General features: G+C 52.4%; 1 protein-coding gene across 23 annotated transcripts in view, besides 2 other annotated features; it reads left to right on the top strand.

The window, feature by feature from the left end:
- PRKAG2 (protein kinase AMP-activated non-catalytic subunit gamma 2) overlaps nt 1-17119 on the top strand; it is a 320989-nt gene that overhangs the window by 168466 nt on the left and 135404 nt on the right. The window lies entirely within an intron of this gene.
- Nucleotides 3887-4078: a silencer, noted in NCBI's record as "fragment chr7:151401658-151401849 (GRCh37/hg19 assembly coordinates)". NCBI's record gives its function as "represses an EF-1alpha promoter that drives an FKBP-Casp9 reporter gene in an ReSE screen in K562 erythroleukemia cells {active_cell/tissue: K562}" and the evidence as "EXISTENCE:reporter gene assay evidence [ECO:0000049][PMID:32094911]".
- Nucleotides 10658-15851: an enhancer, noted in NCBI's record as "VISTA enhancer hs2194". NCBI's record gives its function as "enhancer in: limb[3/8] | heart[4/8]" and the evidence as "EXISTENCE:transgenic organism evidence [ECO:0001131][PMID:17130149]".

Genomic DNA, 17119 nt, shown 5'->3' with positions numbered 1-17119 from the left:
ACAGGAAAGCCCTCCACGTGGACAGTGTATCCTCACTTGCCAGGACCCTACAGGCATGCCATGAGGACCCTCTGGCTCCAAATTCCCTTTACCTGGCTGGCTCGGTGGCTGAAAATCCTTCGTTACAAATGCATTCCTTTGCTAAACAGAGAAGGCTGTAGAGTGAAAACCATCTTTACGCTGCATAGAAGATACTGGTACATTTACTATTTTTATTTTTTGTTGCTTCTATTCTCTTCGATGGCTGGCAGGTGCCAGGTTGGCATGGGGGTTTGAGGGGCCACACAGTGCCCCACTGGACGATCATTCTGAGGGCAAGGCCTGACACCAGGAGTTATTAGAGTCCCGAGTTCACTAATGCGGCCTTTCAGAGTCTAGTAAGCCAAAAAAGAAATAATAAGATTCATCCGACTTTCCTTTCACAATACCTCACAGTAGCTGGCTGCATGGAGAGTTTAGGGTAAGAAGCAATTGGAGGTTTGGAGCCTGACAACCCTGGGTTCAGGTCCAGGTCAGCCAAATGTTGCTGGGCAAGCCCCTTCATCTCTTCCTACTTCCATTTCCCCAGCTTTCAACGGGGACAGCGCCCCCCTTGTGGACAGCGGGGGCCAGTTCACACCCAGTGGTCATGTCCGGGGGCCTTTGCAGGTGGACAGTCAGCATGTTTTCTCTGTGCGTCCTCCCCTGCCCCGTCTGGGTTGGGCCGAGAGTTCTCTGGGTAGATGTCCACCATGTTCGCTATTGGGCTTTCCTGCCTTGGGGCCGGTGCTGGCTCATGCCTGGGCTTTCTTTGGCCCCGGTGGCCCCGGGGTGAGTTGGGCACATCACGGGCTCTGTGGCTATTCTGAGCCCCCTACTGACGTAGGCCCAGCTCCCTGGCTGGCCGGTTTAACTTGGTTCTTGACCAGCCACTCAATTATTTTTGTGTCCTTTGTTTGCCACTGCAGCAGTGGTGAGGACCCAGTTCTCCCTCAGGACTCCTTCTGGAGATGAGGTGGTGACATCAGATGGCTGCATTTGGCTTGGAGAACTGAGTCACCTTCGGGAGCACCCCACCAGAGAGGAGAGCGGGTGATGGGTGCGAGCCAGAGAGCCTCTGGCCTTCAAATTCCCATTCCTCTCCCCCAGAGCCAACAGTGTGACCCTCCCGAGGTTTGGGGAGCTCTGGAAGCTGAAATGCAGGCTCAAGGGCGGGAAGAAACATTTCTAGGAATGTCACTAAACGGTCATTATATAGCAGCTTCTCCGACCACCGTTTAGTAGGAGGGACCTGCTAGGAATTTGCAGCCACACCTCAGCTACCCTGCTCCACACTCCATTCTGGGGACTGCCTTATCAGGGACTTGCCTTATTGAGGTCCCCTGCTCACCTGTTGAATGAATGGGACACTGCTGTTCATTCTCCTGCTGCCAGGATGCCGTCTAGCCTGGACAACGGCAGCTCAAGTTTGGGCAGCGTCGGAGGGAGGAGGACTGGGTTTCATGACATGGTCCAGTTGCTATCCAGGTGCTTGGACTTGTCCTCTGACCAGGTGTTAAATGTCCTGGGGACTTGTGGTCCCCTGTGAGCATTTCCTTCTGAAACTGAGACAGGGCTGAGCTCAGTAAGGCTGGGGCACCCAGGACGCAGCCGAGGGGGAAGGCCTCCTCTGCATGACTGCAGGCAGGTCCGAACATTTGAGGCTGACGTTGGGTTGGGCCAGAGGCACCCTCTTCCCTCATGGTAGACGCCTCTGGAGGGTGTATTTGAGTGCCCTACTCCATCTAGTCCCTGGCCAGGCCAGGTGGCTCCAATTGGGCTGAGATGCATGGGGAACCACCGTGGCCTCCGGCTCAGGTTGGAGAAGCAGAAGCCATTGCCGGAACGTATTCTAGACTCAGGCTGTGTTGAGCGTTTGCTGAAGCTGCTGTTACTGCCACAGCTAACGCCTAGTCTGGGAGACAGCCAAAATGGGTTTGCATCTTTCCTTTGAATACATTCCTTGGAAGAAAGTCAGAAGATTTCAGCTTGAAATTCTATAAAAACCATCATTTGCATTTCCAGTGCACACCTGCTCAAAGCAGGAGGCAGGTCAGGGTGCTGGTTGCTCGTACTCTGGCTTTCTGCAAGAAGCCTCGTGGTGGGAGATCTCGGTGTCTTCCTGGGACTTAATCTTTACAGCAAGGCACTGTCCCAGGTGGGGAGATAGTCCTGACCCTTTTGGGACCCTAGTTTCACAGTCTGGGAGATGAGTTGGATGTCTTGGAGAATTTGACTTGTTAAAGGCAGGGCGAGGCAGGAGCCTGACCTCCCAGTCCTGGGCTATGAGTGGGTCTCTCTGCAGCCTTGATTGCAACTAGTCATTACCACCTAGGAGGAAAGATTAATTTCTCCTTTGGTGCTACAGGGCAAAGAGGCAGGAGGAGACAGCAGTCAGGAGCTTGGTCTCCAGAGCCAGACTTCAAGGCTTGGCTGGAGCTCTGACTGACACCAGCCAGCTGTGTGGCCTTGGGCATGTCCCAGGGTCTTCTCTGTGCTGCATATCTGCTGTGCTGAGTCACACTGAAGTTGTGTTACCTAACCTTTTACTCCGGGAAGCATTTTCAACATGCTTTGCAGGGTACAACATGGTTTCACATACCTGTCGTTTCATCTTAACCCTGATGAGCAAGACTCAAGAGACCCAGGCTCCTGGCTTGAAGTTCTACCCTCAACAACAGTGAACTTGGGAGTTGCAGGTGCACAGATGGGGGGCGGGGGGATGTGAAATCATAAAACATGTGTAGGAATGTCAAATAAAACGCAGCGGGTGAGATGAGATCGGCTAAGAAGGGCCACTTATGAGATTTCTACAAGGAAGTGCCACCAACCTGCAGAGGGCAGTGTAAGGAGGAGTCAACACTCTTGCTCTAGGAGGGGACCCCAGAGCCTGGAGAGTTAAGCAGGGAGACTGAAATTAATTTGAAGAGCAGAGCACCCTCCAATCGAACACCCTGCTCTAGGAGGACCTTAGTGAGCTGATCCTGGACAAATAGAATTGCTTTCTTTATGGGCCTTTGGGAAAACTGTGCTTACCTCTCACGTCTCTTTCTCTCTGAAAAGACGTAGCCCTCCCCCTATCTGTCTCCCTAAGGAGTGTCTGTCACAGACAGTCGGCTGTCCCCTCGCCCAGCTGTGTGTGATAGACAGATGCTTGCAGCCAGATGCCGGCTGCGTGTTCGGCATACCGGGGTGATCCTGCTTGGGACCGAGTGCTTGCCAGCCAACTTTCCCGGCTGGATTAATTTCCAATCCATGTACATCTGTGTGTGTGTTTTACAACCCGATTGAGAAAAGAGAAAAAACACCATAATCCCTTGTTTCCTTGGTGTTGCTCGAGAGGAAGTGGGCTTATCAGTAGGAATGAAAAGGGAGCCTGATATTCTCAGCCAACTCTGAGACCAGAGGGGTTTCCAGAGCAGCTTGATAACCTGAACATTTTATCCTGTACGTTTCAGACACCAGGCCTCTGTTCAGAGCAGCTGGAAGTATAACTCAATTGCATTTACGTTTTATCAGAAGGTTGAAAAATTCTCATTAACTTGCTAATCGTCAAAAATGTGTTCAGCATTTGGCTGGTAATTTCAGTGGTGTCTCCTATAGAAGATAGTATCTGACACACCAAAGAAACCTCATTTCGTTCATGGCTGTTTTATTCCCGTTGCTGAGGCTAGCAGGGGCAGGACTTTTAAGCGCTAACATTTTGGGGACGTGGTCTGTCCACTAAATCATAGGCTTTGTAGTGGTTACACTTGGGTTCAAAACCTGCCGCACCGCTGAGCAGCCTCGCTCTCCCTGTGCCTCCCTTGGCAATACTCACTCTCTTTCTCCAAGCCGTGGCGCCCCGGGAGGCAGAGAGTTGTAAATCCCCACCCGGTAGGTGCCGCGTGGATTGCAGTAGATACGCAGGCCCAGCACATTGTAGGTGTTCCACAAATGCTCAGACTTGGGCCCCTCCCCTTTCCTCATCTCTCTATAATGTCTTCTGTGCTGAATAAATACATTAACTAAAAGCAAGCAGCAATTCTGGGGAACATATGTATAGAATGTTCATACAGCATCATTTATAATAGCCCCAGAGTAGACGCCGCCCAGATGCCCATCAGCAGTCGAAATGGTAAACACATGATGGTAGATTTGCATAATGGAACCTCCTACAGCAATGTGGAGAAACAGTCTATAGCCACATGCAGCAGTGTGGCTGCATCTCACAACCAACACTGAGCAAGAGAAGCCTGAAGCAAAAGAATACAAAATGTGCAGCTCTGGGTCACAAAATACACAGCCAGGCAAAACATATGATGCTAGAATCATGAAGATTAGTTAGAAAGAATAAGACCTACTATTTGATAGCACAGTAGGGTGACTGTAGTGAATAATAACTTAATTGTATATTTTAAAATAACTTAAAAAGTGTAATTGGATTGTTTGTAACTCAAAGGATAAATGCTTGAGAGGATGGATATCCCATTCCCCGTGACCAGCTTATTTCACATTGCATGCCTCTTTCAAAACAGCTCAGGTACCCCATAAATATATACACCTACTATGTACCCACATTTTTTTTTTTGAGACAGAGTCTCGGTCTGTCATCCAGGCTGGAGTGCAATGGCGCAATCTCGGCTCACTGCAACCTCCGCCCCCCAGGTTCAAGTGATTCTCCTGCCTCAGCCGCCTGAGTAGCTGGGATTACAGGCACCTGCCACCATGCCTAGCTAATTTGTGTGTGTGTGTGTGTGTGTGTGTGTGTGTGTGTGTGTGTGTGTGTGTGTGTGTGTGTGTGTGTTTTCCAGTAAAGACAGGGTTTCACCATGTTGGTTAGGCTGGTCTCAAACTCCTGACCTTGTGATCCACTCACCTCAGCCTCCCAAAGTGCTGGGATTACAGGCATAAGCCACCGCGCCCAGCCAAAAAAATTTTTTTAAATAGAAAAAGAATGATGATGATTATCTGAGGAGGCAGGTGGTGCCTGGCAGGGAGATTGAAGGGGGCTGCCATGTGGGTAGTAACATTCCTTTCCTTCTCTGGGTGCTGGTTACATGGATGCATGAACTTTGTGCAAATTTGTCAAGCTGTACACTCTCAATGTGTGCACTTTTCTATATTATGCTCCATAAAACATTTTTTAAAGCCCAAGTGGCCAGATGATGTGGGAGAAGTTCCTTGAGTTGTTCTCATCAGTAAGACAACTGAGGGCTTGACGGAGCCATCCAGTGCTCCGGCCACAGCGGAGAGCAGAATCGCTGCTATCTGGGCAGAAGACACTGCAGGGGAAACACCAGTTTATTTGCTCATTGGTAAAATAAACTGAAGACACATTGAAAAGCAGCTGCAGGAGCTCTGAAAACAGATTTCCTTTCTTAGAGCACCCGCAGTCCTTTGCAGGGTGCCATTCACTGTGACGGAGAAGGTGCGCTTTTCCTCTTTCCTTCTTTGCTTCGCGCGCGCTGATGAGTGAGTCAGAGAAGCCATCATGGCCTTGAAGAAAGATGAGCTATTTGAGCAGCAGGCAATGTGAGAGGCTGAAGGGCTGGCAGAGGTGTCTTCTGCCAGGTGTTCCCTTTTCTCCCTGGGCAGGCAGGTTAGGGAGCCCAGCATAGAGGCTGGGTCCCTGGAGAGATGAGCAGAGGTGAGTAGTACATGGACGGATGCTTAGAGGCAAAATCGTGCCCTTGGCAGTTTGACATTCACTCTACTTGCTCCAGTTCTCGGAACTGGAAGGCGAGAGGTATCACCCCCAGCTTCTGGCATTCCAGACCTACAGTCCTGAACTTGGACCCTTCCCAGGAGAGACCTTTGGGCTCTGGTCCTCGCCCTCCTTGCCATCACCTCATCCCCTCAACCAAAACTTTGCTATCCTAGGGGCTGTGCCCCCCAGGCCTTCACTCTGATCATTAATTCATGCTAGAGTCTTATTATCCAATAACAGGACTTGGTGTTTCTCCTGAGAGTATTTTAACTTGGGATTCTTGGGACTATGAATGCCTCCATCCTAAGGAATGCATTGCCAACTGGTGAGTGTGAAACTTCAAAGTTGCATTTGTCTGTGTACAGAGCGGACCTGGCAGTGCCCTGATGGGCTTCCTGGCAGATGGGGAGAGGAGATAGGGGAAGGAAGGCAAGCGGGTGGGCAGGGACCTGGCAAGACTGCCGTGGGGGCTCCCTCTGTGGGTGGGACTCTCAGGATCAGTGTGGACCTGCATCCCCATCCGTCTGCTGTCAGCATGGACGAAAGCTCCGGCCTGAATGTCTAGGTGGACTTTCTCATGTCAGGGAAGAGAGTCAGTGTGTGCCTACTGATGTCCCTTTGATGATGAGGCCTCCTCTCTCTTTTGGGGGACCGGCACTAGGGATGTAAAGGATGTGGAAGATGCAACTGGGCTACCCCAGCAACTTTTTCTGAAAATTAAACTTTTAACCTTTGCTTCTTTCTTAGAAAGCATTCTGCAGAACACCACCCTCCAATCGAACTCCCCGCACAGGGGGAAGTGTTCTGTATCCATGCTGTCCATCTTGGTAGCCACCAGCCACATCTGGCTGTTGAGCATTGGAAATACGGACAGTGCAGCTGGATTAGCACCCAGGGCTACCATACACAACAGAGCACCACACACCGGGTGGCTTCAAACAGCAGAAACTGACTCTCTCACAGTTCTGCCGGCCAGAAGGCTGAAGTCAAGGTGTGGGAAGGTTGGTTTCTACTGCAGGCCCTGAAGGAGAACCTGCTCCCCACCTGCCTCCTGGCCTCTGGCAGTTCTCGGCAATCCTTATTCTTTTTTTTTTTTTTTTGAGACAGAGTCTCGCTCTGTCGCCCAGGCTGGAGTGCAGTGGCGCAATCTCGGCTCACTGCAACCCCCGCTTCACGGGTTCACGCCATTCTCCTGCCTCAGCCTCCCGAGTAGCTGGGGACTACAGGTGCCCACCACCAGGCCGGCTAATTTTTTGTATTTTTAGTAGAGATGGGGTTTCACCGTGTTAGCCAGGATGGTCTCCATCTCCTGACCTCTCGATCTGCCCGTCTCGGCCTCCCAAAGTGCTGGGATTACAGGTGTGAGCCACCACGCCCGGCCGGCAATCCTTATTCTTTGGCTTAAAAAGATGCACCGCTCCAATCTCAGCTTCCATCTCCCTGTGTATCTGTGTCCACGTTTCCTCCTCCTTATAAAGACACCGGCCACTGGATGAGGACCCACCCTAGTATGACCTCATCTCAACTTGATTATATCTGCAATGACCCTATGTCTAAGGTCACATGCACAGGTACCAGGGTGAGGTTTTCATTGTATCTTTTTGGGGAGACACATTTCAACCCATAACAGCAACTAAGGAGCTGAACTTGAATTTTATAAAGAAATAGCTATGTGAGGCCAGTGGCTGCCTCTTGGACAGCACAGGTAGAGACTGGAGGGAGAAGGTGGCTAATTTAGTGTTTCTGTTCAGACCTCCTCCTCCCCCGGCCCAGTGACGCAGGCCTCAGGTCTGGGTCAGGTGCCTGCTCCAGTGGGGCTTCCCTGGGGGGCAGCCCCTGAGGAGTGGGAGGTGGAAGGGGGTGGACTCTTGTGCCTGACAGCTGAGGGGAGGAGAGGACAGGCGTCTGCTGGGTGCTCGTGTGTGCAGCACATTGCATGACTCAGTTGGCACATCAAGGCTGCATAATGCTCTGTGGTCTCGCCTGTGTGGAAATGCCTGGGACATCCTGTGTGATCCCTGCTCGGATTTCCCGGGCAGGCTGGATGGGTTCTGCATGGATGTTTGACCTCTAAACGGGCAGGCCAAGCACTGAGGATTATTTGGGGTTCGGCACAAGGCCAGGCTCCCCCCGTGTGGAGGGGATGGGTGTGGGAGGTTAAGGGAACTATGGCCTGGCCACATAAGGGGAAGCCTGGAAGCTACCGTCAGCTTCTCCAGGGCCTGGGACGCGTGGCGGAGATAGCCCCAGTCTTCTCCCAGAACTCAGATGATCTCCTACAGCAGGTGGCTCTCAGGGTGTGAGCCCCAGACCGGCAGGCCTGGCATTACCTGGAACCTCATCAGAAAAGCCAATTTCTGGACCTCCATCCCAGTTCCCAAATCTGAATCTCTGAGGGTGGGGCTCAGAAATCCACAGATTCACAAGCCTGCGTTAAAAAGGGGGTCCTGATTCTTGCCAAAATTCGGAACCCCTGGCCTACAGCCGCGTATCTCACCCTGACGTGTCTGTCGGTCACTGAAGAGTCTTGTCAAAGGGCAGATTCAGGCTCCGTAGGTCTGGGGTGGGGGCCTGGAGGTCTGCGTGTCTAACAAACAGGCTGCTGGTCCTCAGACCATACTCCAAGGAGCCAGAGTCTACAAACCTGAGCTCCACGAGGGCTGGGCTCTTCTCTGTCGTGTTCACTGTCCCCAGCACCCAGAACACAGCCCGGCGTATAATACGCCTCTTTCTTTTCTAGCCACTCAACTTAAAACACTGCTGCAGAAGGAGCTGCTAAACGTCACCCCCGATTTCCCTTGTTGGGGAGGAAACATCATTTTGCAATGATGCAATGACTTATTCAAAGACCTGTTTCCTATGAGATGACAGGACAAAAACCACATTGCCGAGAACTCCATCACCAGATTTCAGTGGAACTATTTCATTAATCTTGTATGCAGCAAAATGTTGGCAGGTACACAAGGCTCCTGTTGAGGCTGTTTCTGCAATGTGGGGGCACCCATCTGCGGCCGCCTGTGGCAGCAGAGCACTGCCCCTCTACTCCCTTCTTCCTCCGCTATGTACCCCAGTTTATCTTAGTCCCAGTCCTTCTTAAAGACCAGCCTATATCAAGAACCTCCCCACTGCCTCCTCTGAGGGCCTGAGCACCTTGCTGTGTCCCAGCCTCCTCGTCCTGCTTTCAATGATTGATGAAAAGATTGACGTGTCCTCCATCAGATGCTTCCTGCACTGTCTTAATGGCTCATGCATTTCTTTCTGGCCCGTAGGCTGGGTTCTGTTACCCCAAGCCCAGGCACTGCATATCCCACTTCCAGTTCTTCCCTGTACAGCCGGTGCCCAGTGAATACTTCTCATCTCATTGATTCACTGATTTATTTCAAAGCAAAAGTAGTCTGAAAGGCCCTTTGCCATTTCTTAATCATAAAACTAAACATCTCCAACAGGAAGGAGGGGCCTCCTGTGCTGGCCTTCATGATAAAGTCGCCGAGATGATCTCAATCCCAGTGAATTCACGGCTCCAGGGCCACCTTAGCGCCTCTTTCTCAGCAGGGGGCTGAGATGTAACCGGATCGTAACCACACAGGCATCCGGCCAGCAGTCAGCATCTCCCGGAGATCTGCTGGGACTAGGCCTGCAGGCAGCCTGACCGCAGGGAGGGAGGCAACCTTCGTGGGAGATCTTCAGAAATATTGTTCATTCGGTTTCTCAAGAGTCTCCAACTACAGTGCAGTTTAGCTTTCACAGCTTACATCCCAGGTGTCAAAGAGACACAACTTGGGGCAGGGATGGGGACAGAGGTCAGAGAAGGAAAGGTGGCCTAAGGGCATTGAGGGGTGCTCCCCAGAGTTTGCAGACTGGCTCTGCAGACTTGCAGGTCATTTCCTGTACCCTGTCCTGAAACCCTCCCACGGCCCGTTTGAGCCTATCAGTCATTTACACTGTAGCGAGAAGTTACCTGATTTCAGGACCTTCTTGCAGAGGTGGGTTTTCCTAGGGTTCCACGTGGCATCTCAGGGTGGCTTGGAGTGGTCCAAAGAGCCAAGTCCTTGCATCTGGATAGGTCTGCAAGGGGCTGACGCTGGTATCCATTGCACCCATTCCCCTGCCTGTAATGTGGATTCCCTCAAAAGCAGAGCTGGTGACAAGGGTCAGGGAGTTGGTTTGGGAGATTGTGTTAGTCCATTTGTGTCACTATAAATATCTGAGTTTGGGCAAATTATGAAGAAAGGAGGTTGATTTCAGTTCACAATTCTGTAGGCTGTAGGAGAAGCATGGTGCTGGTGTCTGCTCCTGGCGAGGCCTCAGGAAGCTTCCAGTCATGGCAGAAGGCAAAGGGGGAGCTGAGGTGTCACATGGTGAGAGGGCAAGAGACAGGGAGGAGGTGCAAGTCTCCTTCAAACAACCAGGCCTCGTGTGAACTCATAGAGCGAGAACTCATTCACTACCACGAGGACAGCACCACGACATTCGCCCCCATGACCCAGACTTCTCCCACCAGGCCCACCTTCAACTCGGGGGTCGCATTTCAACATGAGATTCGGAGGGGACAAAACACCTAAACCATACCAGCGATGATCCCAGGAAGCACAGGCGAGGGGGTGGGGGATGGGACAGTGAAGGGAAAAACCAGGAGGAGGCTCAGAGGGACAGTGGGGACAGCTGAGGCCTCACAAGGGACCTGGTGAAGTGCTGGCTGAATGTGCCCCCAGGGGCATTAGCCCAGGTGGCCCTGTGGGGACCAAACCCCTAGTTCCCCAAGCTGGCGGCGCTCCTCCCGAGGGAGCTCCTGGGCACCAGAGGAAACTCTCAGGCAGGGTTGAGGTGGGTGGGAAGCCCCAGTGCCCACAGGAACTGCCTCCCAGCTGCAGGCGAACTCAGAAGTGAGACCTAGGGACAGGGCATCAACAGTGCCTGCTTCCCAGGGGGCTGGCACAGAGGAAAACAGCACAAAAATGCACCTCCCTCTGCCGTGTCCCCTGAATGCACCCACTGGCCTGTGCACCCATGGCTGTGGGGACCACACAAGAGTCCTCTGTACCTGCACACCTCAAAGCTTGGATTCGCCTTGACCCGTTACACCCGTCCTTCTTTATCCTGGCAGCCTTGAGCCACTGGGTGGATGAGGTTGGAAGGCAGGGTGGAGAGAGGCTCGATTTCTGTGGCATTTTCTGGGCTCTGATGTCTGCTCCCGGCACCTGCCTCCTCCCTGCGTCCACACCCCCTCCCTGCACCCAGCGCACCACTGTATCCCAGCCGTGCCCATTCTCTGTGCCCCCCACAGCTAAGGGGTTATGTCAGACCCTTGCTGACCTGTCACCGTCCACAGTGGATTGGAGGCACCCTGTCATGTGTGGACCTTATGAGGGTTGGGCATCATTGTGTACCCAGCTCTCCAAGCCAAGGACCAGGGGCTCCGGGGCTTCCCCTTTCCTGTGACCCTCACTTCCAGCGGCGGGTCCTTTCTGCTCCAAGTCCCCACAGAGTTCAAGCTCCTCCTGCTGTCCCACAGGTGGTGGCAGAGCCTCCTCAGAGGGCTCCCGGGCTCGGCCCACTCTCTACACCCCTGGGGAATGATGGTACCCCTGCTGGGCACCCAGCATGCCCACTTGCAGCGCCCCCTGATGCTCGGACACAGGTCCACCACTTCTCCCTGCCTGTTGGGACCCCAAGAGCAGGCCTGGTGGGCTGCAGCTGGTGCCCATTCTGCCTTGACCACCCCAGGGTGTGCAGCTCCCTACACACCACCCCCCGTTCCCCAGCAGCTGCTCTTCCTCTGCCAGTTATCATGTGTCCTAAGGGAACTGGCTCCAGCTCTCTCCCCGGGGATGCTCCCGCCCAAGGCCCCTCCCAGGCTACACACCCCTTCCCCATGCCAGGCGCCTCCATCCCGCTGACTCAGACTGGCCACCTGCCTGCCTCTCCCTGGGCCTGCGCTCTGGGGGCAGGGTCCACTTTTTCTGCCTGGCTCTCGGGGAATCTGCGGCAGGTGAACAGGGCCTGAGCCTGCAGGTGGCAGCGCCTGGTCCTAAGGAGCGGCCTTCTGTCTGCTCCCAAGAGCTGCTGCTGCCAGCTCCACAGGGCCCCTCCCAGCCAGAGGAGACACTCCGGGCTGCTCCCCACTCTCCAGCTCTTTTTCCCTTCAGCTGCCCCTTTTCAGGCCTCTCCTCCCTGGTGTGATCGTTTTTATCTGACTTGAGAGGAGAGGTTTGGCCTGACCCTGCCTTCCGATGGATCTGAAACCTACTTTTCAGACAGGGGCTTCAAATCCCAGACTCTCTGCTTTTGAAAGTTTGATGATGGTGGGTGGAAGGTTGCGGGGGGCTTCCTGAAACCTCTCGTAACTGGGGGTGATTTCCTCTTAGCCGTAGGCTATTTAGGCAAGGAAAGAGGTCCTTGTTCTCAGTCAAAGGAGAGATGATGGCGTCAGGGCTGAGGCGCCGGCAGGCCTGGGCCTGCAGAGACGACCTGGCTCTGCTCCTGAGAAGCGCTCACTTCCTCACCTGCCCCAGGCCACCAGAGCAGATGCTTTGCCACATCCACCACAAGGTCCTGTGGCGTTGCGCTGCCCCGGAGCCCCACTGGGGAACCCCATACTCTCCTGATGCTACCAGTTGCCATTGGAGCTGGGAGCTGCCCAGGCGGCTGCACGATGGCTGTGAGAAGGCCCCGGGCGCGCCACGTTTTCCTCTGAAAGTGCTGTGAGCTGCGGCTGAAGCTTGCCAGTATCATGCGCTGAATTTTAACGAATAAGGAGAAGGGAGGAGGAGGAGGTATTTGGTTGGGGTGAAATAGAACAAAGGCCGGCTGAGCTCCTGGCAGCCCTGGCAGGGGCTGCAGAGGAGGCACTGATAGGAGGCTAAGCCACTGGGCTTCCGGGGATGTGTTGGCGATTCTAGCTGGCAACATCAAACCTTATGCCGGCATCAGGCCCGCCCCCTCGGACCCCTGAAGAGCTGGTGTCGTGTAAACACAGGGTGGGGTCTGCTTCCTCTGCCCGGATGAACACCAGACTGTTCTTGCTGTGCTGAGGTCTGGAGGACACAGTGCCTACGGTTTCCACCTGTCTACAGAGAATTCAGACCACCAAGAGTGATTAGTTCAAAGGTCTGTAGGCCAGGGACAGCTAAGAACAAGGCCAGGGCCTAGCCTTACAGCTTCTGCTCAGACCACAAAGAAGAGAGCCGGCTTTAAGCACACCTTGGAAGCAACGCCACCCTGCTGCCCAGGGGAGGTGGCCCATTCAAGAGTTCCTATTTGATTTGTCCATTTCACTGATGGCTGAACTGAGGCTCTGCTCATAAGTGAGCAGCTCTAGTTAGTTGTGCTAGAATGTGTTCCTGAAGTCCTTGCAAAATCAGTTGAAAGAGGGCAGGGATGGTGTCTGCTACCACTGTGCTCCCAGCCCCCAACACAGCTTCCTGCACAATGCCGGCACTTAGGGCACCCACACGAGAAAGTTTGTGTGCACAAGTGCACAGAAAGGCCATCACAAATGCCTACTTCTGGCTGGGCTCATGCTCTCTGGACTCTCTCAAAAGAATGCACCTGAGGGCATTTGGCCTTCTCCCCCTGCAGGAAGTGGATGGGTGTTTATCAAGTAGCTTTATTCAGAAGGAAGACAGAAGAGTCCCAAAGATCAAGGTGACAGGCGGTGTGATTTTATGGTCACATAAGAGGAAACAGGTTTGAGCCATGACTTAGAGAAACAGGTGACTGTCGCTTCAATTTACACAACACAGTGTCATCAGACTCTGCCGGGCTGCAGGCTCTGTGCCCAGAGACACACCCCCAACCCCCCTGTTATGTCACTGGGCAGCCCCACCAGGCATCATGTAAATGTCACATTACCCTTGGCAGGATTCCTCCAACAGCACATCGGAAACTTGGCTGCAGGAAGGCAGGAATGTCTGGCGTTGTCCCGGGCTCCCTCCCTGCCCGGGCCTGCTGACCCAAGTCCTGTGACCGTGGCCCAGAAGGAAGGGACAGGCATGGGCACAGGCTGACAGATTCTGACCCGGAGGGACTGGGGCATCCCCAGGAAACGTGTGGGTGCGGTGTTTGCATCGGATGTCCTTACTCCTTGCTCTGGCCCTCGGTGTTGGGGGCACATGGGGACACCAGGCCATGCAGGCAGCAACCATAGTTGCTGTCACCACAGGAAAGGGAAGCTGCAGACCTAGGAGGGGCAGCGATCTCTTGGGAGACACAGAGCAATAGCAAAGCGATGGCAAAGCCGGGAGGGAATTGTGAGAGAAAGCCCTCCGTGCTGTGTGTAGATGTGGTGGAATAGTATTCAGCCTTCAAAAGGAAGGAGATTCTGACAGGTGCTGCCTTGTGGATGAACCTTGAGGGCATTGTGCTGAGTGAGAGAACGCAGTCATGAAGGGACAGACACTGCCAGATTTTACTCATATGAGGTCCCTAGAGTGGCCAGATTCCCAGATACAGGAAGTAGAAGATGGTTGCCAGGGGTTGCAGGTGGGGAGAAATGAGTTATTTTTATGAGGACAGAGTTTCAGTGTTGTACTATGAAATGGTTCTGGAGATGGTGGTGGTGGGGGCTGCACAGCAGTGTGGTTAATGCTGCTGAACTGTGCGCTTGAAGATGGTCAATTTTAGGTTGTGTGCATTTTAACAAAATCAAAAATAAATGTTTAAAAAGAGTGGACTGTTTGGATCAACAAATTAGCTAACTCAGCGTCTTCGTCTGTTTAGGCTGCCGTAATCATACCATAGACTGGGTGGCTTATAAAGAACAGAAATTGTGGCTGGGCACTGTGGCTCACGCCTGTAATCCCAATACTTTGGGAGGCTGAGGCGGGCAGATCACTCGAGGTCGGGAGTTCAAGACCAGCCTGGCCAACATGGTAAAACCCTGTCTCTACTAAAAATAGAAAAAAATTAGCTGGGTGTGGTGGTGAGCAACTGTAATCCCAGCTGCTCAGGAGGCTGAGGCAGAAGAATTGCTTGAACCCAGGGGTCACAAGTTGCAGTGAGCCGAGATCACACCACTGCATTCCAGCCTAGGCAACAGTGCGAGACTCCGTCTCAAAACAAAAAAAGAACAGAAATTTCTTTCTCACAGTTCTGGAGGCTAGAGTCCAAGACCAAGGTGCTGGTAGATTCTGTGTCTGCTGAGGACCTGCTTCAGCTCCTCCTGGCTGCGTCCTCACATGGTGGAAGGAGGAGGGGTCTCTCTGCGGTCCCTCTTGTAAGGGCATGGGGCACCACCCTCCTCACCTCCCAAGGCCCGGCCTCCTAACACCATCACCTTGCGGGTAGAATTCAACATAAGGACTTGGCAGGGACCCACACATTCAGACCACAGCCTTCAGAAAGTTTTACTAACATATTTCTTGGATATTTGTAAATATTTTTATACTCAGTATATAGATGTCTTTAAAACACAACTTTTAAAGCTAAAAATAAAGCAAGCTCTCAAGGTGCAGCCATTGCATAGAACCCTCTCGTGGGCCTAGCGTGGCTGCTGATGGCCCGGGGAGGTGATGGGCCTGGAGGAGGGACGGGTGGGGCATATTCAGGCCTGCAAACTCCTCTCTGGGATGAGTAGCCACCTGGTGAGGGCCTCACCTTCTCACTTTTCCCTGGAACCCCTCGTGCGCCCCTCGGAGGGCCTTGGGTCTCCTTATGGCCGCCTTGGGCCTCCTGTGCTGCGGGTCTCAGGCCTGCCCTGGGCAGCAGGACATCATCAGGCTTTCTGCATGTTCGGACCTGTGCCAAGAGCCGCTGTAGAGAAGACTCATTGACCTGTCCACACCTTTCAGGGATATGCAGAGATATACCAAAGACCCCTGTCCTCAGGAGCGCCGGGTGACTGAGTCTGGTGGAAGGTGAGGGCGGGTGAAGGAGTGGGATCTCCCTTTCTGCTCCCAGCCTAACCTTTCAGCTCTCTCCTGCCCCCTCCCCTTCTCCCAACAGCAGGGGAAGGCAGGGTACAGGCTGTGTGAGCACAGCTGTCTCCAGGAGGGGAGGGAGTTGTCTGGGTGACAGGGCCCAGGTTGCCTGAGCCTCTGAGACCTCGCTCCTTCCCCCTCGCACTCCCCCGCCCCCTGGTAGTGGCTCCATTCTGTCACCTTCAGGAGATGACCTTTGGGCCAGAGGGAGAGGGAATTCAGCTGCTATTTTTATGTGAGCAGGTCTTGGGCCCCAAGGCGGAGGCAAGGTTTCCACCATCATGCTGAGGCGTCTCCATCCGAGCCCTGCCTGTCCCTCCTTCAAGGCCCAGGGGAAAAGCACCTGCTTCCCCCATTGCAGAGACAACCCCCCCGAACTCATGTTAGGGCACTGTTGTAAAAGTCAGGATTATTTAGCTATAAGTTACGTAGAGTAAAACTCACCCTTTTAAAAAAAAATGTGCTATTCTGAGAGTTTTGAGAAACATCTGCAGTTGTGTAATCAGCACCACCGTCAAGACATAGAACAATTCCAACACCCAAAGAAATTTCCGCATCCCTTTTTATAGTCAATTTCTCCCCTCATCCTCAGCAAACACTGACTTTTTTTTCTGTCCGCTATAATTTTGCTTTTTCCAGAATGTTGTATAAATGGAAATATATAGTATGTATATATTTGGACCTGGCTTCCTTCACTTAGAAAAATGCATTTGAGATTAATTCATTGTGTTGCATATATTAAGAGTTCTTTCCTTTTTATTACTGAGTAGTGTTCTATTGTATAGATGCACCAGTTTTTTGGTTTGTTTTTCATTTTTTTTTGTTTTTTTGTTGTTTTGAGACAGGGTCTCACTTTGTCGCCCAGGCTGTAGTGCTGTGGCGCAGTCATGACTCACTGCAGCCTTGAACTCCCAGACTTAAGTAATCCTCACACCTCAGCCTCCCAAGCAGCCGGGACAACAGGAGTGTGCCACTGCACCCAGCCAACTTTTTTAATTTTTTGTAGAGATGGGGTCCCACTATGTTGCCTAGGCTGGTCTTGAACTCCTGGCTTCAAATGATCCTCCTGCTTCAACCTCCCAAAGTGCTGTACCAGTTTATTAATTCACCAGTTGAAGGATGTTTGAATTGTCTCCAGTTTGGGGCAACTATGAATAGAGCCACTGAAAACATTGCATTCAGGATTTTGTGTGAACAAGGTTTCATATCTTCTAAGAGTGGCATCGCTAGGTTGTATGGTAAATGTATGTTTAACTACAGAAGAAACTGTCAAACTATTTTCCAAAATGGCTATACTAGTTTGTATTTCCACCAGTGACAAATGAGAGTTCCTGTTGTTCCAAATCATTGTCAGCACTTAGTATTGTCAGGTTTTTGTAGACGTTAGCTGGTCTAGTAGGTGTAGTGATGTTTCATTGTAGTTTTAATGTATATAGCCCTAAAGATTAATGATGGTGAATATCATATCATTATTTGTCATCTGTATATCTTCTTT

This window comes from Homo sapiens, chromosome 7 (assembly GCF_000001405.40).
Source record: "Homo sapiens chromosome 7, GRCh38.p14 Primary Assembly".
NCBI classification, from domain to species: Eukaryota; Metazoa; Chordata; class Mammalia; order Primates; family Hominidae; genus Homo; species Homo sapiens.
Note: the sequence above shows the minus strand (reverse complement) of the source record. Positions and strands in the feature narration are given on the sequence as shown.